Below are 23069 nucleotides of genomic sequence, written 5' to 3'. Positions count from 1 at the left end.
ATACCTTCTGCTCATAGTCCATCATAGAGAACTAAACATATGGCTGCCTCAAGATGCAAAGATAAGGGCTTGGGAAATGTGTTTTAAGGGGCATGTGGCCATCTGTGCCATAACTGTCTTCACCCAAACATCAATAGTGAATTTTAACATCAGACAAGATGATATGGAAACTAAGCCTTGATATTCCAGCTAAATATGGAAAGGGAAGTAGCTCAAGGAAAGGTAGAGGTTAGCATAAGAAATTTGTGGCTGATTATGATTGTTCTTCTCTACTTAAGATCAGGTGAAATATTCATAGCAACATATTCATTAATATGAACCCAACAACTATTCATAGAACACCTATTAAATGCCAGGCATGGACCTTGGCTCTATGGATAGAACAGTAAACAAAATATACAAACTCCCTGTCCTTATGAAGCATACATATTAAAGCAGGAATCAAAAAATTAGCAAATACACAAATAGATATATAGTGTCACGTAGGAATACAGGCTATGATGAAAAGTAAAAGTAAGAGGATTGTGAATGACAGAAGTCATATTTTTTCAATGGGGAGGTCAGGCAGGACCACTTCAGGGAGGTGAGGGAGTAACTGGGTAGGATACCTAGGTGAAAAGCAAGGCCCTCAAGTGAAAGAAAGTTTGACCTTTCCAAGGAGCAGCAGAGTCACTGATTCCATTTTAATAGTGCTGCATGGGCCAATTCATGCAGGGCTCTAAGGAAAGAAGCATGGGAAGTGAAAGAAGGATGGATTTTAGTGCTAAAAGACATGATTCAAAAACAGAGTCTGCCACTTACCTCTGGAATTATTTTTTAGCAAATCATTTGACCTCTGATGTTTTCATTAGCAAAATGAGTATACCTACCTCACTGAATTGTGACGAGGTTTATATGAGATAACACACATAAGTCATTACTACTGCATAGCACACAGCAGACATTCATTAAATATTAATCATTCATCCTTTTACACATATTCCTGAGGTAGTGAGTTTAAGAAAAATCTCGTTTGCCTCTTTTCATTCTTTCTCAAGATGGGAAACTTTTATGCCTTATCCATCATGAATTTATGAAATTCTTTTCCTATCTCAGAGAGCTGGTCTTGCTTCACAATGATGAAGATGATGACGAGGAGAGAGTGATCAGCTATTCTAGAAGATGAAGATTAATATAGACATCCACCCATTTGTGGACTTTTCCTTTATAGTTTACGCCATGTTTATACATTTAAGAATTTGGTTGGGAAAAGTCGGAAGTTCATTGCTATGAACCACAGTTTCAAGGTCAAATTTCTAAGTCAGCCACCTCTCCCATCTCATTCCATCTGTTCTCATTATTCATTCACTTAATTTAAGGGCAGGCTGTGGTCATTTGGAGAAGCATTGGTGAAAGATAAGATAATGAGTTACTTTTTCTTCTCACACTAACCTTTATGGATTCTGTGACTTGAACATGGCCGAGAAATTTCTGCATTCCTTGGCACATCGATTTGCTTTGGTTTAGTCTAAATACATAACTAAAAGCCCTACTATGTTCCCACCGAAACAGATCTGTATTAGCCCACACACCAGAGTCTAAATCACTTGGTGATCATTGCTTCACAAGCTATTTTGAGAGAACACGACTTCCATTTTCCTTTTGTTTTCTTTCTTTTTTCTTTTTTTTTTTTTTTTGAGATGGAGTCTCACTCTGTTGCCCAGGCTGGAGTGCAGTGGCAGGATATTGACTCATCGCAACCTCCACCTCCCCAGTTCAAGCAACCTCCTGCTCAGCTTCCTGAGTAGCTGAGATTACAGGTGCCCACCACCACGCCCAGCTACTTTTTGTATATTTAGTAGAGGCGGGGTTTCACCACGTTGGCCAAGCTGGTCTCAAACTCCTGACCTCAGGTGATCCACCTGCCTCGGCCTCCCAAAGTGCGGGATTACAGGCATGAGCCACAGTGCCCGGCCACGCTTTCCCTTTAGAATCTATTTATCATCATAGTGTATGCATGTTCTAAATTTGTCTGTTTGACTCAGTCTTTTTGACAGTAATCTCCTCAAACCATTTCTCCCTCTTTTATTAAGTCCTCAGATCCTTGGGGCAGATCTCAGCATTTTCCATCTTTAAGGAAGCCCCTAGTCACTCTCAAGAGTACAATGCACCACAGGTAATTAAACATTTAAATATTTTGTTTGCACCTGTAGTCACCTACATCCTAGGGGCCTGGTTGTAAATCTCTTCACAGTAGTTTTATCATGTGAGTAGTATTTGAGATATGTTTACAGAGTTGTTTTGCCTAGATTTTATAATCACGAATTCACCTTACTTGCTTGGAGTGAAATCAGATCTTTCTTTCTCCTTGAACATACCTTTCCTATCTCCAGGTCTCCTATGTTTCAGACACTGAAAAATATGTTGGAGCCACCTCACAGGAACAAACAGACTATCCAAGAGTGTTGTCATAATGGAGACATTGAGATCTTGAAAATTTGAAAGAATTCTAGCACATTTCTGGCCTCTGTGACGGCAAGTGCCTGTTCTCAGAAAAGAAAGTGACTTTGTTTCCTAGAGAATGGCTTACATTTCAGTCATCAGGAAAGCCCTGTCCAGCTGCTTTCCTCTCTCTCTAGCAGCTCCCTTCGAGCTTTGCCCCTTCTCTCACATCTCGCTTCAAGCAAATCCACGCAAAGATGCTTTCAGGAACATCTGCACTCTCTCATGCGGTAAGACAAGCAGAGCGGACATCCTGCAGAAGGAAATACCAGTAAACATTCAAACACCAGGAAAGATCTTTGTTGGGGTATCTATAGACACTGCTCAGGACTAAATGAATTCACAAATATGCGCCACTCCATGTAGCAGGCTACTGAAACCCAATGAATGCTGCAGAAAACCGTATTGCTTTTCACATCTCCAAATGCCAACCTCCACTGTGCTTAGGCAGGGCCTAGATTTCATGGTGCAAGTGAAAAATAAACATCTGCACCAACTTCTCTTTCCAAAAACACCTTTAAATTCCTCATGAATCTTGGACTGCAGTACAGCTGACTAAGAAAGTACTGTGCTTTAAATACTTATTATTTAATAAATATCTTCTAAAAATCAATGAATTTTAGAGTTCAAATGTTACCTTAGAGAATGTTTAGCCTTGGCACATAGTACCTTTTTATAAAGTGGGCAAACTGAATAGCAAAAATATTTTAATGATCATCGACCTAGGGGTTTAGTTATTATGTTTGAATATCTATAAAATACTTATGCTAGGGAACATAAGGAACTGTTTAAAAAGAAGTCAAATTATAATCTCTTGGTCCTAAGCTTAACTAGTTATATTAAATTAGTAAAATACTTCAGTTTTTTTTTAGTAGAGGACTTGAGTTTTATTGAACATCTTCATACGCAATGTAAAAGTAATTAAAATTAATAACTCAATGTGTTTTCTAAGCTTCTTTAACATTTAGAAAGAACATAATAAAATACATTCTAATCATAAAATTCTTATGAAATATCAAAGACTATATAAAACCATTGAAACAAACTATAGTCATGCAACCAATATAAGCATAGTTAAAATTCTGGTATGCTTACATTGCCTTCTTTGCATTTTTTGAATAATTAAGCTATACATATATTCTTTATTTTGCTCACTTAACACTTTATCAAAAGCATTGACTTACTGTGGTAGCCAGAGTCCAAGATGTCCCTGAATGATTCCTGCCTCCTAGTATTCACACCCTTGTGAGAAATGGACACTGATTTAAATGTGGCTCCTCCCATGTTGCACCAGGATTGGTCTGTGAGATCAATAGGCTATAACTGACAGTGGCTTCCATAGTGGGTTCTCTGTCCCATCTCTCACTCTGAGTGAAACAGGCTGTCATGTTGTAAGGAGCACTACAACAAGGCTCTCATGGTGAGGAACTGAAGCCTCCAGCCAACAGCCATGAAGCCTGCCAAAAACCATATGCATGAGTTTGGAAATGGCTTCTCCAGCCCCAGTCAAGCCTTGAGAAAACCATAACCCTTGTCAATAGCATGACTAAAATCTCAGGAGGCATGCTGAGCCAGAACCACCCAATCCTGAGAAATTGGGTGACATAATATATGTGTGTTGTTTTAATTTAATATGTTTTGATGCAATTAGTTGTGCAGCAAGAGAAAACTGAAGCACTCACATCTTTAAAGACTGTTCATGAAAACTATTTTTAATGGTTGACTAATAGTCTGTTCCACAGATGTATCATGATTTATTTTACTATCCTATTATTGGATATCCAGGTTGATTTCAATGTTTTGCTCCTTTAATTATTGCAGTATACATGTTTTGTATACTGTCTACATCTATGATTAGCTTCATAGCATCTTAGAAGTAAAATTATTAAATAAAATAGTAATATTTTAAGGTTCTTGATATTTATTACCATATTGTTTCCCAAATGTATTGTACTAATAATGAGTAGTCCCAAAGAGTTAAATTTTATTGCTCACAAAAGGCAGATCTATGACATGACTAAATTGTATCTGTTTATATCACAAACTGTCCTTGATACATAGTGCTCTGTAGTTTATTGCCTCCATTTAAATACTAGTCTAAAAAATAACTAGATCTTTCTATCCATTTGCTTACTGGTTATATGTGATGATTCAGCCTGTTCAATACCAGCTTATATTTTTCCCTTTATATCTGTTCTCTTCCTGTTTCCTTCTTATCTCAGAAAATAGCACCAACATCCTCCCAGTCTACACTCTACTAATCCAGAAACCTGAAAGTCATCTTAGACCCGCCCCTTCATCACACTCTTACATAAACTCTACTCCATATCTTTACTCCTCCCTCTCCTCTCAGGCCCCATTGCTACTGCCTCAGTATCAGCAGTATCAGGACAAATATGCCTTGAGGGAGAAGAATCATCCCATTCCATTCCACCTCTCTCAGAACATGTCTTCTACAGTATAGCTGGGCTTTTATTTTACCTTCTACCAGGAAACCCCATACCTGCCCCCACAGATTTCATAGTAGATGTGGTACAGGCTGCAGGACTGAAAGCAAACTCAGACAGCAGCAAAGTGTAGGCTATGGGGAAGAGTGACAGATTGATGATGACACATCCTTTTCCCATGCCTTTCAGTAGTTGCATGCATTTGAGAATTTTGGTGTTTTCAGGAAGAAAGACAGTAGTTATTCCAGATAATAAAGTTAACTCTTTGTGAATTACTATACATTTTTTTCTTTGAGAGAAATGGACACTCACTTAAATGTGGCTTTGCATTAACTAGTAGGATTATCATATCAATTCCTGGCCATCTACTTTGTTAGCTGTAGTTCCTGAAAAGAACTAAATGCAGATCAAATACAGGTTTAAATGTATTTTACAGATATTTACTGAAATATAGCATGCTTAATGCAGCACCCCTAGATGACTAATGCAAAATAGAATCAAGTACATTTTAAAAGAATACCTTCTCTAGAGCTAAAAACCAATAGTATGTTTAAGTTCTATTGGCACAGAGACAATTGTCACAGTTCAAAGATGCAGCTTCTGGAGGCTGTTTCTACTTAGCCTAATGTAACGATTATTTGAAGAGACATTCAAAGAGCATATTAGAATAAGATTCCCATTTTGTTTGGTTCTTGTTATCTAAGCAGTCATTTTTCACTCCCGGTTAAAGTTAGCACAGAACATTCTTCAGGACAGCCCCTGCATTCCTAACATATTTCCACAAAAGGCCCCTTGGTTGCAGGCCCCTATCTATGTGATAGAGTATTTTTGTGAGTATTTTGTTTAAAAATATTATTCATGGTCATAGCTACTTGTTGTATCAGAGTGCTAAAATCTTTACATACAGTTTCTCATTTCAGCCTCATACCCACATTGCAAGGTATTCATGATTACTGTCCTCTTCCAGGTGAAGAAATTGAAGCTTGTCATTTGAACAAGTTGATCAAAGTCACAGAGAGACAGAAAGAGGCTGGTTTGACTTCATAGTAAGCTCTCTCAGCCTAGATGCTGTTTCTTCTCTTGTGGCTTGTTGCCTAGTAATCCTGTATCACATTGACTTATGATCTTGATTCTTCTATGATGTCTTCTAGGACTTCGAACAAGTCACTGCACATTAGGGCCCTGATTTATGAAGAAACGTCTTCACAGAGTATTAACTTGGATTTAACTAATTCTATTTGCTTCCTGCTCACAGGAGAGGACTATATATAATATAGTCTGTGCTCTAGTGGTTACACACTCAGTCCCTAGTTTTAGTGCTCCCGCAGGTGTATACAACACTGTTTTTACCAGGGAACTGAATTATTAGGGTCTAACCCTCCAGGGGTGTCGGCATTTGCCAGGATGGATGTATAACTTAGTCCACATGAGCTGAAGTTTTACTACACACATGGGAACTTCAGGAATAGCTTCCTGCTCCTTGAAAGTGTATCTTCAGCCCAAAGAGCCTTTTCCAGGCCTATTTAGTGGTATTTGTCTAATTATAGGTGTTGAATAACTGTGTCCTTCAAACTAAACTACATTTTAAAATTAGTTTTCATGCCTTAAAGTAATTAAAGTCACAGTCCATGTTCAGTCATTCCTATAGTAAACTGTCCCAGTGCCCTTGTTTTCCTTCTTTTCTTTCTTTCTCTTGCCCTCCCCACCCCCACCTGATATATTTTCTTCTGCAGCATTTTGGTGTCTAGAGGAAGCTAATTGGTAGTTATTCCAAATAATAAAGTTAGCTCTTTGTTAATTATCATAAAATTTTTCTTGGGGGAAAATGAATACTCTCTTAAATTTGACTTTGGATTATCTGGTAGGATTTCTGTATCAATTCTGGACAATCTATTTTGTTGGCTAAAGTTTCCCAAAAGAATAAGGGCATATAAAACACAAATTTAAAATAACATTAATGAAGTCTAATACTTGAGTAGCATTTTGTGGTTTTCAAAGCACTTTTATAAATGTCAAGTCATTTAATCCTACGACAACCTTCTGTGGAAGGACACAAATTTTAATTAAACATTTATTTCAAGCTAGATATTATGTCAGTGCTTTGCATTTACACTCTGACTTTATATTCATGACAGACCTTCTAGGCATGTATTATCTCCATTTCATAAATGATGAAATTGAGGCTCAAATAAGTTAAATATCTTGTCTAGTATCACACAGCTTTAGGATTTCACCTGAGAATATTGAGACCCCAAATCCAGAGTCTGCACCTGACATTCCAACCTGCTAGGGTGGTTTCCAGTGTCATTCCCAAAGAACACAGTCAAAGCCATGGGAGGCTTAGCCTGTACCATATGTCTCATTGTATAGTAACAATTTTTGTAGAGGAGGCTTACACATATCAGTCTACATCACTGTTACATCTCAAAATCCTCTTCTTTAAAGTTTATTTCCTCAACTTCTTAATTTTATACATATATATATATAATTATAGAGAAATATACAAGTAAATATTTTGGGGGCTTTCTTCCAGATGTCCATAGGAAGATAAAGAGCTGGTGCAGGAATGAGACATGTTGTCTCCAGATCCATGGAGAGTTTTTATTCTACTCCAAAATGGTTTGTAAGACCACAGTTGGTAACTCAACTGTAACAGTTCTTACATGAGTCACTGGTCAGACTGTATGTCCAAAAACAATATTAGATTTGTAATTTGACAGGGTCAGACTTACTCCAAAGAGAATTTAGCCCTTCTAGATGACTTGAAATGTAATTCAAATTTTTGCTTCTTTCTAGAATAGGGCTGAAATAGTAACGTGTACTGACTTCAGGACCCCCTGCTGTTAATCTGACATAACACAAATTTACTACTTTCTTTAATAGAGGGAAGTTCCAGTTTGCAGACTTAAGAGAAGAGAATAACTAGGGTAAGTGAGGTATCATGAAAGAGAGAAATGATACCTGGCTGGGTTGAATTTTTAAATCTCTCAAAAAAGAAGTTTTTTCTCTTAATATCCTTTACGACACATTTTATAATGATACATATATGATTCTATTTTTGTTCCAAATAATAAATTTGTACACACCCATGCACGTTTATGTGTGTGCATGTGTATATGTACTTCATTATTAAGTGAAGTTCACTTCATGATAAGAAATAGCTCCATAAATCTAAAACATGATAAGGGTGAAACAAAATTAATGAATGTTTGAGATGTGGGTCTGGATCATTTTATAAATACATATGTGAATCCTAGTTTCTAGTAGATTTTGAAATCCATAGTCTATAAAATTCCATAAGAGATCCAGCTTTCAGATATAAAATGTCATATATTGTAATTCCTATATAAATATTTCCTTTAAGTTAATGGCTATTTCATGGTAATAGTACATCATTAACTACAATCTGTAGTTTTGCATTTAACTAAACTTTTCACACAAATCATACAACAGATTCCCAACATGTTTTCAAATGTGTCTCCTAAGATACAGTGGAAAATGTGACTTATATTTAAAACTTAATAAATAACTCATTGATGTGAAGTGTTTTAAGTATGGCAATGTGCTGTTTTAAACAAAGTAGTGAAAATATATCACTGACTGTGTCTAGTTGTTTTCACTTCTTTCAAGGTTTAGATTTCCTTTGCCTGCCTGTCTGATTTAACTGGAAAAAAAAAAAAAACCCTTATGGAAAGTGGGAACCTTGCATACTTCAAAGTTAACCAAGATCAAAGTCAAATGAAGTCCACTGAATAAAGAACAAGCCTAAATGCAAAATGTGTCACGTTGATATTGGCTTGAGTCTTTTAGGTTATGGCTTGTACCAAAGCCTTAACTTTGGATTTGTCAGGTATCTAAGCACTGTGAGGTCTTATGGGAAAAAAAATGGTTTACTTAGTTTCTGCAGGAGACCATTTAAACACAAACTTATCTACATAACCAGGGAAATAATGTAGCTATTGGTAAATGAAACCTTGAAAATGTGAAAGGCTTCTTGCCTGTTGCATCTTTGTTAGCTGCATTTAACTCCTGACAAATATTCATCTTCTACAGGCTACATCTTGTCTAATTACAGAATTAGAAAGTTTTAATATGAATTATGCCTCCCTAAAATGTGAGCATGCTAAAAAAACTGAAATTAGCTATTATATCTTTCTATCTCTGCTAGAAGCATCTCTTAAATTGAGACAGTTTCATTGAGTCTTTTCAGGATTCCAATCTTGTTTGTTTTTGAATCTCCACAAATTTAGGGTCTGGGGATTTAGGCTAATGTTGAGTTCAATAAAAAAAAATGGAGAATTATTAACATGCAAAAGGTAGTGTGGTCTGTTATTTAAAAGATGCAATGGGTGTTCTTGAATGTTCTGCTTCATTGGAGCCCTCCTACACCAGACATGTTACCAGTAAAGGCACAATGTTTTTTCCTTGAAATGGTCCATGCTGTTTCACTTGAAACGGTGTGTGCTGCTGCTGGGTGTTCTGTGGTTCTGTCTCAACAACATTACTCAGAACTCACATTCAGCAGGTATCAACCAATAGGCCCTTTGGTATCAGAGAAGGAAATAAATCACATTCTCTAGAAACACCCATCTGTTTTGAATAGTCCCATAGATAGATGGCTGTCTGTTTCCTGGAATATTTAATATTAGAAAAAACTAGTCCAAACAGTTTACTCTCCTTAAGACTAAGCAGCAAAAGGTCTTCCAGTAAATGCACTGCATAATGGGAGAGGCCAGAGACATCCGCCTGTGACTCAAAAACGGAAAGAAAAAAATACTGATAATTTCTGTGACTTTGGTGACCTCTAGCGATCAAATCTTAGAACAAATCTACCAAGTTTCTTTTCTAAAATAGAGGGCTCTACAGAGTTAGATATTACATATTCGTTTTCTAATTTTTCTACTCATTATTTATTTATTGGTTATTATTTTTAATTGCCACATAATAAGTGTACATATTTGTGGAGTGCAATGTGATATTTTCATACATGTGTACAATGTGTAATGATCAAATCAGGGTAATGAGCAAGACAGTCACCTCAAACATTTATCATTTCTTTGTGTTGAGAATACTCAAAATCCTCTCTTCTAGCTATTTGAAAATATACAATAAATTGTTGTTAACTCTGGTCCACACTACAGTGCTATAGACCATTAGAACACATTCCTCCTATCTAGCTATAATTTTGTATCCCTTAACCAATCTCCCCTAGCCCCTCTTCCCCCTACTCTTCCCAGACTTTGTAACCACGGTTCTACTCTCTACTTACATGATATCAACTTTTTTAGCTTCCACATATGATTGAGCTCATGTGGTATTTGTCTTTCCGTGCCTGGCTTATTTCATTTAACGTAACGTCCTTCAGGCTCATCCGTGTTGCCACGAAGGACCAAATTTCATTCTTTTAATGGTTGAACAGTATTCCACTCTTTATACACCACATTCTCTTCATTTATTCATTTGTTGATGGACACTTATTTAGGTTGATTCCATATGTTGGCTATTGCGAATAGTGCTGGAATAAACAGAAGAGTGCAGGTATTGGCCGGGCCTGGTGGCTCACTCCTGTAATCCCGGCACTTTGGAAGGCCGAGGCTGGCTGATGACCTGCGGTTAGGAGTTCAAGACCAGCCTGGCCAATGTGGTGAAACCCCGTCTCTACTATAAATACAAAAAATAGCCAGGCATGGTCATGGGCACCTGTAATCCCAGTGACTTGGGAGGCTGAGGCAGGAGAATATCTCGAACCCGGGAGGCGGAGATTGCAGTGAGCCAAGATCACCTCGCTGCACTCCAGCCTGGGCGACAAGAGCAAGACTCCATCTCAAAACAAAAAAAGAGTGTAGGTATCTCTTTGACATACTGATTTTTGAATATACACTCAGCAGTTAGTGAATCATATGGTGTTCTATTTGTAGTTTTTAGAGGAACCTCCATACTACTTTCCATAGTGGCTGTACTATTTTACATCCCACCAACAGTGCATAGGAGTTCCCCTTTTTCCAAATCCTCACCAGCATTTCTTCTTATTATTATTATTTTGGCTTTTTGATAATGTCCATTCCAACTGGGGTGAGATGATATCTCCCTATGGTTTAGATTTGCATTTCATCGGTGATTAGTCGTGATGAGCATTTTTCCAGATCCACAAAGATACCAATGCATCGTGGTCCCCAGGTACAACCTCACTCTGAGATTCTGATTTTAGGGCTCTTTCTCTTTGATCATGAGTGCCTTCTACCGTATTTGTATTGGTTAGGGTTATATGGTTGAAAGCAAAATAATGCTGTCTAATGGAAGACAAAGTATAAACAAACAAACAAAAAGAATTGCTCAGGAGATCCAGGAAAATGGTACTGAAGAGTCATTCTCTCCAGGGTGTGTTTAGGAAAAACCAGCTTAAACCAGGTTCTGTGTTCGAATTCCTCCACTCAAGACACCATATATGTAGGTATCTCCTTCAACCCTGCTTACCAATAGGAAATATTCTACATAGAGCCAAAGTGATTTTTATTTACTATTACTATACTACTTAGTATATATTATCAAATTGTGTACTTTAAAGTTTTCCCAGATAAATAATGATGCTAATTAGGTATCTCATTGACCATCTCATGTCTTGAGGGAACAACTTATATGCTATTTCTGGGTTCTAGTAGTTTTTTTTTTTTTTCACTAGCTATGGAATTTTGCAGAATCATTAAACAAATCTATGAAATGTATACAAATAAATCCTTAAATCTCTATTGAAGTTATTTAAGTATTACATTACTAAAATCTTTTTTCTTTCTTATGACATAGCATTTCCTTGTTTATTCTTTTAAACTATATTTTGCATCAGTTACAATTTATACCAAAGGTAGTACATTAGAAACATTACTATATGACTCACTAAATCATACCAACTAATAAGATATGAGTCTAGTGACATAGAAAGTGACTGAGTACTTAAAAATGCCTTCTTCCATCATTTCTTATTCTGGGGCCTTTTGTCCAATAAAGAAAGACATCAACATTTTCAAGTACTTTCTTCTCCTTCCTCCCTATGTCCAGGATCTGAGTAGAATGCCCAAATAAAAAAGGTGTCAGCCTTCTGTACTGCCACATCCTATGAGGGAAAAAAAACAACCCTGGTGATTTAACTGAACACATAAATGAGAAACAGATTTGTGTAACATGAGTTTGCTCCAAGCCACAGAAGGCCGACACCATCCATTGGCATATTTTTAAGGTGAAGGGATAATTGAATCCCTTCTACACTAGACAGATAGTTTGTTAAAAAATGAAGCAGCAGGATTTGTCTGGAAGAGACAATTCAAGCTCACATCTCACTTATGAGAAAGCGTGGCAGGACTGAAGGGCATATTTAGCTTTGTACTAAACATCCCCACATGATTAGCCATGCACAAAAGGGCCCCTTTAGTCATTTGAAGCCAAATTATATGCAATGGCTTTAGCAAGAGCAGTCACCACAGTCTTCACTGTGTCACAGAGAGACTTGCAAAGCCGCTTATCTTGGTCCCTGGCCAGCTCAGCTCAGCCTCAGCCTTTGCTTCATTCTGTTAATGATTCCCTAATTAGACACTTCAAGGCTGTCCTAATTAAGACTCTTTTGGTTGCAAGTATCCCAAACCCACTTTAGAATATCTTCATAGAACAAGAAAATTTATCTGAGGGATACTGGGGAGCCTCACAGATTCCAGGCATCAGAAAAGGTGGGAAACCAGGCAGTTCAGTGGACCCCAGGAGATTTTTGGTGATTCTCACTCAAGAATTCTATTAATAGGGCTAAGCTTCTAGCACCCAGTCTTCTGTGTTTCTCCTGAGAAGAATTAGAAGGCCTGAAGTTGTATCCAGTGTCCATGCATGAGCTAATCAGCCATAGTCAAAATTAATGGTCACATAACAAAGTCTATGTCTTCTGAGTGCCACCACTGACAGAGAGCAAATTACTCCAATAAAAGGGATAGGTTCTGGGCAAAACAATCTCTTAGAAGGCCACAGCTGGATATTACCAAAACCTGGAATTTAATTGATTTGATATGGACTAGGTCATCTCCATTCTCCAGTTCTCACAACTAGACTTAGAGACCTTCTAGCGCCTGTTTATACAATCTGAAGATACTACAGTCCTGTCTTTCTCCTGATTGCTATCCATTAGGATAGAGTGGACACTTCTATTTGCTCCATGTACAGGCAGACAGATGACTGCCACATCTCTGTCTTCAGTCTCGATTCCCCTTCTGAGTCCCAAATTCAAGAGTCCATCTTCTTCCTTGACCTCTCCACTAGCATATTCCAGAGAAACCTTAAATTTAACAAATCTAAAATGAAGCATGTGATTTTTCTTTCATTTCCCATCTCTATAAACAGAACCACTCTTTACCTAGTCATTCAAGCTGAAAACTTTGGAAGCAACCTTTAGCCTCCCTCTTATCCTCCTCACCCAATTAAACACAAAGCCACTCAATATTAAGTTCTAAATAGTTAAAACTTAAAGATGCCAAGGTAGGAGGTTTGCTTGAGCCCAGGAGTTTGAGATCAGCCTGGGCAACATAGTGAGAGCTTGTCTCTACCAAAAAATTAGCTGGCCAAGGTGGTGCACACCTGTAGTCCCAGCTACTCAGGAGGCTGAGGTGGGAGGATCGCTTGAATCCTGCAGGTAGAGGCTGCAGTGAGCTGTGATCACACAACTGCATGCCAGCTTGGGGAACAGAGCGAGACCCTGTCTCAAAAAAAAAAAAAAAAAAGACGGTTATTGAATCAGTTTAACTAACACCCCAATAGCTGCCTTAGTTGAAATATCTGACTTTACTCTTATCTCAATTTCTGCTAAGAGCTTCTTACAGTTCTGCTTGTCAACCTTGTTACTTCCCTAATATCTGTTTATCCTGTAGACAGTATGGCTCCACCCTGCTGCACAGCCTCCAGCAGCTTACCAATTGTCTATGGGATGAAGCCCCAAACCCTAACATCATGATCTCACTGCCCATACCTTACAGCCATATCTCTTACTATGACTCTCACCTCTCACTTTATACTCCCCAGTCATACTGAATTTCACTCCTCAGAACAGTATGTAACTGTCTCTTTTGAAAGAGAGGTCTCTATTCAAAAGCCTCTTCATCTGCTCCTGCACGCAGCTTATGAATAATGCCCAAATTCTTGCATTTCACCTATCCCTGCTCCTCCAGACAATGCTAATTGACTTTTGTTGCATGTTTAATATAGCAGGAGGACGTATAGTTTATAGAGAATAAACCTGGGCCATAATGACAGACTGCCTGGGTTCAAATCCTGGCTCTACCACATGTTTAGAAAATAATACATATCTCATAAAATCATGATGAGGAATAATATATTGCCCACAAGAAGTAACTAGTACAATGCCTGATATGTAGTTAGTATTCAATAACTTATAATGTCAGAAGCAAGAGTAACATAAGCAAGGGAGTAACAATGTGATAGGCATCCCATGGTATTATAATCTAAAAATAAATGTATTATCTTTGAGGTCAGCTGGCTCTCAGGGCATGTAGAGACTCACTTATGTTTGTTGCTCCAGCAAGCCACCGAGTTTCTGTCCTCTGACCCAAGACTGCAGTCAAAACAGGGGAAAGAACAGGGATATTGGGATCTGTAGTCTTAAAATTTTATGAAATATTACCAGTCTCTTGGAACTCATTTTAAGGAAATTGGAAGTCTATCACTAAAAATTACCCTTGGCTATTTGCTCATTGATTATTTGAAACAAGCAATACAACTGCTCCTCTAACTGGGGCATATTTGGAAGAAGGGTGAGAATACCATCAGAAAATTCTGTTACTGGCATCATAATCACATTCAGGCATGAGAGATAATAGGGAGTTCCACAGTCACATGGGGGAGCTTTCATTTCCCTGGGGGAATCTGGATATTTGCTGATTTCTTCTATGGCAGCTAACTAGATTATAAGCAGGAAAATGCCATGGAAGTGGGGAGGAAGTATTAACACTTTTAGAGCTTTTAGCGGTTAGTCAGGGCTGGCATAACAGGTTAAGACTAGAGCACCAACCGCAAAGCCTGTTTTCCCCAAAAGACACTTGCTGAGTTTCAGAATGGCGCAGTAGGCTGAAAAGCTAAATTGGGAAAAACAGCAAAATCCTACCAGAGAGAAGGGACCTGCAATAAAGCATATTAATATCTTTCTCAAGACATTTCCACTGAAGCTGCACACTTAGGAAACTAAAAAGCTGAGGTCAAGATTCTGCATATGGGAAAAAATGTTTAGGCATGCAAAGTGGCAGAAAATGTGGCAAATAATCAAGATTTTTAAAAATGAAAGCTTATGGTTGTACACCTAGAGTGTGAATGCACTTAATGTTATTGAACTATACACTTAAAATGTTAAATGATAAAATTTTGTTATATATATTTTATGATAATAAAAACATAAATAAAAACTGAACTACAGATATCTATATATTGGAACCAAGAGACAAATACATTAAAATAATTATGATTAGCATATTCAAGAAAGCAGAGTGAGTTACATAGAATAAATGAAATAAGTAGAATTTCTTTTTTTGTTTTTTAAATAATTTCAACTTTTAGATTTAGAGAGGACAGGTGCAGGTTTGTTACATGGGTATATTGCATGATGCTGAGATTTGGGGTATGATTCATCCCATTATCCAGGTATTGAACATAATACTCAATAGTCTGTTTTTAAGCACTTGCCCTCTTCCCTTCTCCCCCTTCTAGTAGACTCCAGTTTCTGTTCTTGCCATCTTTATATCCATGAATATACAACGTTTAGCTCCTGCTTATAAGTGAGAACATGTAGTATTTGGTTTTCTGTCCCTGCATTAGTTCACTTAAGATAACAGCCTCTGGTTGAATCCATGTTGCTGCAAAAGACATGATTTTGTTATTTTTAAATGGCTGTGTAGTATTCCATGGTGTATATGTATCACATCTTATTTATTTAATCTATAATTGATGGGCACTTAGGTGGAGTCCATGTCTTAGTTATTGCTAATAGTGCTGTAATGAACATAAAAGTGCATGTATCTTTTTAGTAGAATGATTTATTTTCCTTTGGGTATATACCTAGTAATGGGATTGCTGGATTGAATGGTAGTTCTAAGTTCTTTGAGAAATATCCAAACTTCTTTCCACAGGACCTGAACTGTTAGGTTGATGCACAAGTATAATAATTTACATTCCCACCAACAATGTATAAGCTTTCCCTTTTCTCTGCAGTCTCGCCAGCATCTGTTGTCTTTTGACTTTTTAATAATAGCTATTCCGACTGGTGTGAGATGATATCTCATTATGGTTTTGATTTGCATTTCTCTGATGATTCCTGATAAGGAATATTTTTGTACGTGTTTGTTGGTTGCTTGTACATCTTCTTTTGACAAGCTTCTGTCTTTCACCCATTTTTAAGGGAGTTATTTGTTTTTTGCTTGTCCAATTGTTTAAGTTTCTTACAAATCTGGATAGTATACCTTTGTCAGATACATAGTTGGAAATATATTCTCTCATTCTGTAGGATGTCTCTTTACTCCATTGATAATTTATTTTGCCATACAGAAGCTCTTTGGTTTAATTAGTTCCCACTGGTCAATTTTTTTCTTGCAATTGTTTTTCAGGACTTAGTCATAAACTATTTTCCAAAGCTAATGTCCAGAATGATGTTTCCTAAATTTTCTTCTAGGATTCTTATAGTTTGAGGTCTTACATTTAAATATTAGTAGAATTTCAAATATAATTGAAACTTATAAAAATCAAATGTGTATTCTGAACTGAAAAATTTAATATCAGCATCAAAGAACTAATGATATAGGTTTGACAGCAGCCTAGACACAGCAGATAAGATTGTTAAAAGTCATTACATAGTAGCCAAGCTGAAGCACAGTAAGGAAAAAAAGAATGTAAAAAATGTGAGCAACAATAATTAAAAGGTCTAATGTATGAAAAATTGAAGTCCCAGAAGGAAAAGAGAGACAATATTTGAAATCATAATCAAGATTTTTCCAAAACTGCAAATAATATGAACCCAAAATTTAAGAAACTAAGAAAATACCAAAGAAAATGACAAGAATATACATCATAATCAAACTCCCAAAAATATAAAACAAAGAGAAAATCTTAAAAGCAATTAAAGGACTAAAACATATTATCTTCACTGAAGGATCAATAAGACCGATGACTGATTTCAACAAAAATTATGAAAGCCGGAAGATAAAAAATGGTATCTTCTAAGTGTCAAACAAACCAGCCCCTGAAAACCTGGACATCTATACACAATTAGAATACCCTCAGAAAAAAAAAAAAAAGAAAGTCATTTAAATATAAACATAAGTTGAGCAAATTTTTCATCAGTACTGCCAGAACTACCAGTACTACCAGAAATGCAAATACACACACACACACACACACACACACACACACACACACACACACACAATTCATGCTGAAAGAAAAGGATCCCAAATGGGAGCATGGGATTGGAAAGGGCACAGAGAAAGCTAGGAAGTGTAAATATATGAATAAATAGACAAGAATTTTAAACTACTACTAATAATGTCTTATGATATTTATAATATATAGAAGTAAAAATATTGTTATTTATTGTAATTACACAATCATTCCATACTTAGATCTTATCCCCTATGTTTAATCAGTTGAGGAAGTTGAAAGCTCAGAGAAATTTAGTAATCTGACAAAAGTACCTTTGGCCATAAGCAGAGTAAAAGTCTGAACCCAGGTTTACTTCACAGTCCATGCATGATATTTTAAGCACTTTGGAAAATAAGAGTTGCTTTATAAATTTTTTTTTTTTTTTGAGACTGAGTCTCGCTCTGTCGCTCAGGCTGGAGTGCAGTGGCGCAATCTCAGCTCACTGCAAGCTTCGCCTCCCGGGTTCACGCCATTCTCCTGCCTCAGTCTGCACCCAGCTAAATTTTTTTTTTTTGGATTTTGAGACGGGGTTTCACCATGGTCTTGATCTCCTGACCTCGTGATCCGCCTGTCTCGGCCCCTCCCAAAGTGCTGGGATTACAGGCCCGAGCCACCACGCCCAGCTAATATTTAACAGTCATGTTCCCTCAAGCCCTACACAAAGTAAAATGCATCACATATGCAATAATAATAAAAATAATAATGGTGCAAACAACAAAAGGGAAAAAAGAGGCAATATGTGGTATGTCTCTTGCATTATTCAGGAACTGGTAAAACTACCAACTTAAGGTATATTATAATAAATCAGTCTTAAAAATACATGACTGCTTAACTAAAGCACAAAATTATTGATTTATATAAAAGAAAGCAGGAAATTATAAATAACCGAAGAACAAAGGAAGAAATGCAAAGCAACCAGGAAAGATGGTAGACTTAAATACAACTATAAAGTTAATTCATTAAATGTAAATAGATTAAAAACTCCAATTAAAAGATAAAGTGTGCCAGACTAAATTAAAATATCTACCTTTATACTGTTTGTAAGAGACACACTTTAATTATAAAGAAACTTGTTGAGAGTAAGAGAATGAAAAATGATGTTGTATGAAAATATTAATCAAAAGAAAGCTATTACACTAAAGAGAATTTAATGCAAGAAGCAAGAGTTGAGACAAAGAGCAAAATTTCATAAAAATAAAAAGGGCAATTCAATAGTAAGATATAACAATCCTAAATGCATATGCAAATAACATACTTTAAAATATATAAAGGAAAAAATAGCAGAATTAAAAGAAATAAACAAATCTTCAGTCATGACTGAATATTTAACACACTTCTTTCAGTAACTGATAGAAAAAGCAGATGAAATATTGTTAAAAACATGATTAACTAAGTTGACATAACGACATATACAGAACATTATGGCCAACAAATTGCAAAACACACATTCCTTTTAACTGCACATGAAATATTTGAAAAGTCAACTATACACTAGAGTGTAAGTGGTATCTCAACAAATACAAAGAAGAATTAAAAAAATACAAAGCACATTCACTGACAACTATGAAATTTAATTGGAAATCAATAACAGAGAGATAAATAGAAAATCCGTAAATGATTGTCAAGTAAATAACATCCTTCTAAATAACCCATAGGTCAAAGAAAAAAATAGAAAACTATAAAATATTTTGAACTGGATTATAATGAAAATATAATAAAACATGTCAGATACAGCTAAAATATTAGTTCATGAAAAATATATAGTTTTAAATTCATATTAGCAAACAAAAAAGTAGAAAAAAATAGGATGTAATCTTCTATCTTAACAAACTAGGAAAAGTCACATCAAATTAAACCCAGAGGGAAAAAAGTAAAGAAATACTATAAAGCAAAAATAAATAAAATAGGAAGCAGATGCTCAACAGAGAAAAACATTAAAATCCAAAGTTAGTTCTTCAAAAATATTAAAAATTATTAAGGAAGCATGAGAGAAAATACCAATTACCAATGTCAGGAATGAAAAATGAGCTATCACTAGGGATTTGATAACATTAAAAATGTAACAAGGAGAGGCTAGCCAGAATGGCCAACTAGAAGCAGCTAGTGTGTGCCACTCTCACAGAGAGAAATAGAAGGGGCAAGTAAACATAGCACCTTCAACTGAAACATCCAGGTACAGTCATTTGGATTCAAGAGGAATAATTCAACCCATGGAGAACAGAGAAAAGCAAGGCAGAATGACCGCCCACCAGGGAGCAACACAGAGCCAGGGGAGCGTCCCCCATGCAAGAAAGTGGGAGTCTGAGGCAACTAAGAACTGGAGCTGTCCTTTGGCACAATGTAGCAGCTCTGTGGAGTAGCCAGACTGCTTTTTCACATGGGTCCTGGAACCCATTTCTCTTCATTGGGCAAAATCCCGCAAAGAAAGGCTACAACCACGTCCACTGGTGTGTTCAGGGTGGCAACAGATGCTTGAAAGTTGAGGTGACTAGGGACAAGAGCTGACCCCCAGCATACTGCAGTAGCCCTACAGAAAAGTGGCCAGGTGGCTCTGGAAGTCCATAGAGTCCAGGAGCTCTGCATCCACCCAGCACAGAGCACCCAACTCAGAAAAGTGGCCAGACTATTCTCCACATAGGTCCCAGACCTCACTTCTCACTAATCAGGGCCACCTGACCTGTGACACTAGCACAACCACCCTCCCCCACCTAATCACTTTAATCAGAGGCAGCTCAGCAGTTAGAGGAACATCCACATGCAGAGATGAGAAAGAACCAACACAAGAACTCTGGCACCTCAAATGGCCAGAGTATCTTATGTCCTCCAAATACACTAATTCTCCAACAAGGGTTCTTAACCAGGCTGAGTTAGCTGAAATGACAGAAGTAGAATTCAGACTATGGATAGGAATGAAGACTATTGAGATTCAGGAGAATGGCAAAAGCCAATCCAAGGAAACTAAGAATAACAATAATATGACGCAGGAGCTGACAGACAAAATAACCAGTATAAAAAAGAGCCTAACACATCTGATAGAGCTGAAAAACACACTACAAGAATTTCCCAATGCAATCACAAGTATTAACAGCAGAACAGACCAAGCTGAGGAAAGGATCTTGGAACTTGAAGACTGGCTCTCTGAAATAACACAGACAAAAATAAAGAAAAAAGAATGAAAAGGAATGAACACAACCTCTGAGAAATATGGGATTATGTAAAGAGGCCAAATATATGAATCACTGGCATCTCTGAAAGGGAGAGGGAGAAAGCAAACAACTTGGAAAACATATTTCAGGATATCATCCATGAGAACTTCCCCAACCTAGCTAGAGAGGCCAACAGTCAAATTCAGGAAATACAGAAAACCCCTGCATAATTCTATACAAGATTATCCCCAAGATACATAACCATCAGATTGTCCAAGGTCAAAATGAAATGAAAAATGTTAAAGGCAGCTAGAGAGAAAGGACAGGTCACTACAAATGAAACTCCATCCGGTTAACAGTGAACTTCTCAGCAGAAACCCTAAAAGCTAGAATGCATTGGAGACTATATTCAACATTATTTTAAAAGTCTTCAACCAAGAATTTTATATTCAGTAAAACTAAACGTTCTCAGTGAAGGAGAGATAAGATCCTTTTCAGATAAGCAAATGCTGAGGGAGTTTGTTATCACCAGACTCACCTAATAAGAGATCTTGAAAGGAGCACTAAGTATGGAAGGAAAAACCATTATCAGCCAATACAAAAACACACTGAAGTACACTGAGCAGTGACACTATAAAGCAAACACACAAACAAGCCAGCATGATAACCAGCTAAAACCATGATGACAAGATCAAATCCACATATTAATACTTGAATGTAAACAGGCTAAATGTGCCATTTAAAAGGCACAGAGTGGCAAGCTGGATAAAAATGCAAGACCCAATGGTATGCTGTCTTCAAGAGACCGATCTCACACACAGTGATACCCATAGGCTCAAAATGAAGGGATGGAAGAAAATTTACCACGCAAATGGAAAACAAACAGAAAAAAGTGGAGATTGCAATCCTAGTTTCTGACAAAACAGACTTTAAACCAACAAAGATCAAAATAGACAAAGAAGGGCATTACATAATGGTAAAGGGGTCAATTAATCAATATGCATGCACCCAACAGAGGAGCACCCAGATTCATAAAGCAAGTTCTTAGAGACCTATAAAGAGACTTAGACTCCCTCACAATAGTAATGGGAGACCTCAGTATTCCACAGACAGATTATTGAGGCAGAAAATTAACAAAGATATTCAGGACCTAAACTCAACATTGGATCAAGTGGATCTGATACACCTCTACACAACTCTCCACCCCAAAACAACACATAGACTTTCTTCTAATCACCATATGGGACAAACTCTAAAATTGACCACACAATCAATTCTCGGCTATTGCAAAAGAACCAAAATCATACCAAACACACTCTCAGATCACAATGCAATAATAGATGTCAAAACTAAAAAATCACTCAAAACTATGCCATTACATGGAAATTAAACAACCTGCTCCTGAACGACTTTTAGGTGAATAATAAAATTAAAGCAGAGATCAAGAAGTTCTTTGAAAGAAATGAGAATAAAGATGCAACATACTAGAATCTCTGAAAGATAGGTAAGACAGCATTAAGAGGGAAGTTTATGGCCGGGTGCGGTGGCTCACGCCTGTAATCCCAGTACTTTGGGAGGCTGAGGCGGGAGGATCATGAGGTCAGGAGATCGAGACCATCCTGGCTAACACAGTGAAATCCTGTCTCTACTAAAAATACAAAAAATTAGCCAGGCATGGTGGTCGGCGCCTGTAGTCTCAGCTACTCGGGAGGCTGAGGCAGGAGAATGGCGTGAACCTGGGAGGCAGAGTTTGCAGTGAGCCGAGATAGTGCCACTGCAGTCTGGCCTGGGTGAAAGAGCGAGACTCCATCTCAAAAAAAAAAAAAAAAAAAAAAGAGGGAAGTTTACAGCACTAAACGCCCATACCAAAAAGTTAGAAAGATCTCAAATTAACAACCTAACATCACAACTAAAAGAACTAGAGAACCAAAACCAAACCAGCCTCAAAGCTAGCAGAAGACAAGAAGTAACCTAAATCACAGCAGAACTGAAGGAGATAGAGATACACAAAAAAAGTTAAAAGATCAATGAATCCAGGAGCTTGTTCTATGAAAAAATTAATATAATAGATTGCTAGTTAGACTAATAAAGAAGAAAAGAGAAAGATTCAAATAAACACAATCAGAAATGATAAGGGGGATATAATCACTGACCCCAAAGAAATACAAACAATCATCAGAGACTATTATGAACACTTATATGCGCACAAACTAGAAAACCTAAAAGATGTGGGTGAACTCCTGGACATATACACCCTCCCAAGACTCAACCAGGTAGTAACTGATTCCCTGAACAGACCAATAACAAGCTTTAAAATTGAATCAGTAATAGCCTTCCAAACAAACAAACAAAAAGCCCAGACCAGCCTAATTTTACCAGATGTGCAAAGAAGAGTTGGTTCCATTTCTACTGAAACTACTCCAAAATATTGAGGAGGAAGAACACTTCCCCAACTAACTCTACAAGGCCAGCATCATCCTGATACTAAAACCTGGCAGAGACACCACACAATATGAAAACTTTAGGCCAGTATCATTGAGGAACATTG

At 37.0% G+C, this 23069-nt stretch overlaps 1 long non-coding RNA gene across 1 annotated transcript in view; it reads right to left on the bottom strand.

Annotated features, from left to right (window-relative positions):
• LOC105377460 (uncharacterized) overlaps positions 1-23069 on the bottom strand; it is a 106316-nt gene that overhangs the window by 219 nt on the left and 83028 nt on the right. Inside the window, exon 10 of the long non-coding RNA XR_002959803.2 lies at positions 2570-2734. This is a non-coding gene — a long non-coding RNA (uncharacterized LOC105377460). The remainder of the gene's footprint in view (positions 1-2569; positions 2735-23069) is intronic.

Source organism: Homo sapiens, chromosome 4, assembly GCF_000001405.40.
Source record: "Homo sapiens chromosome 4, GRCh38.p14 Primary Assembly".
Classification (NCBI taxonomy): domain Eukaryota; kingdom Metazoa; phylum Chordata; class Mammalia; order Primates; family Hominidae; genus Homo; species Homo sapiens.
Note: the sequence above shows the minus strand (reverse complement) of the source record. Positions and strands in the feature narration are given on the sequence as shown.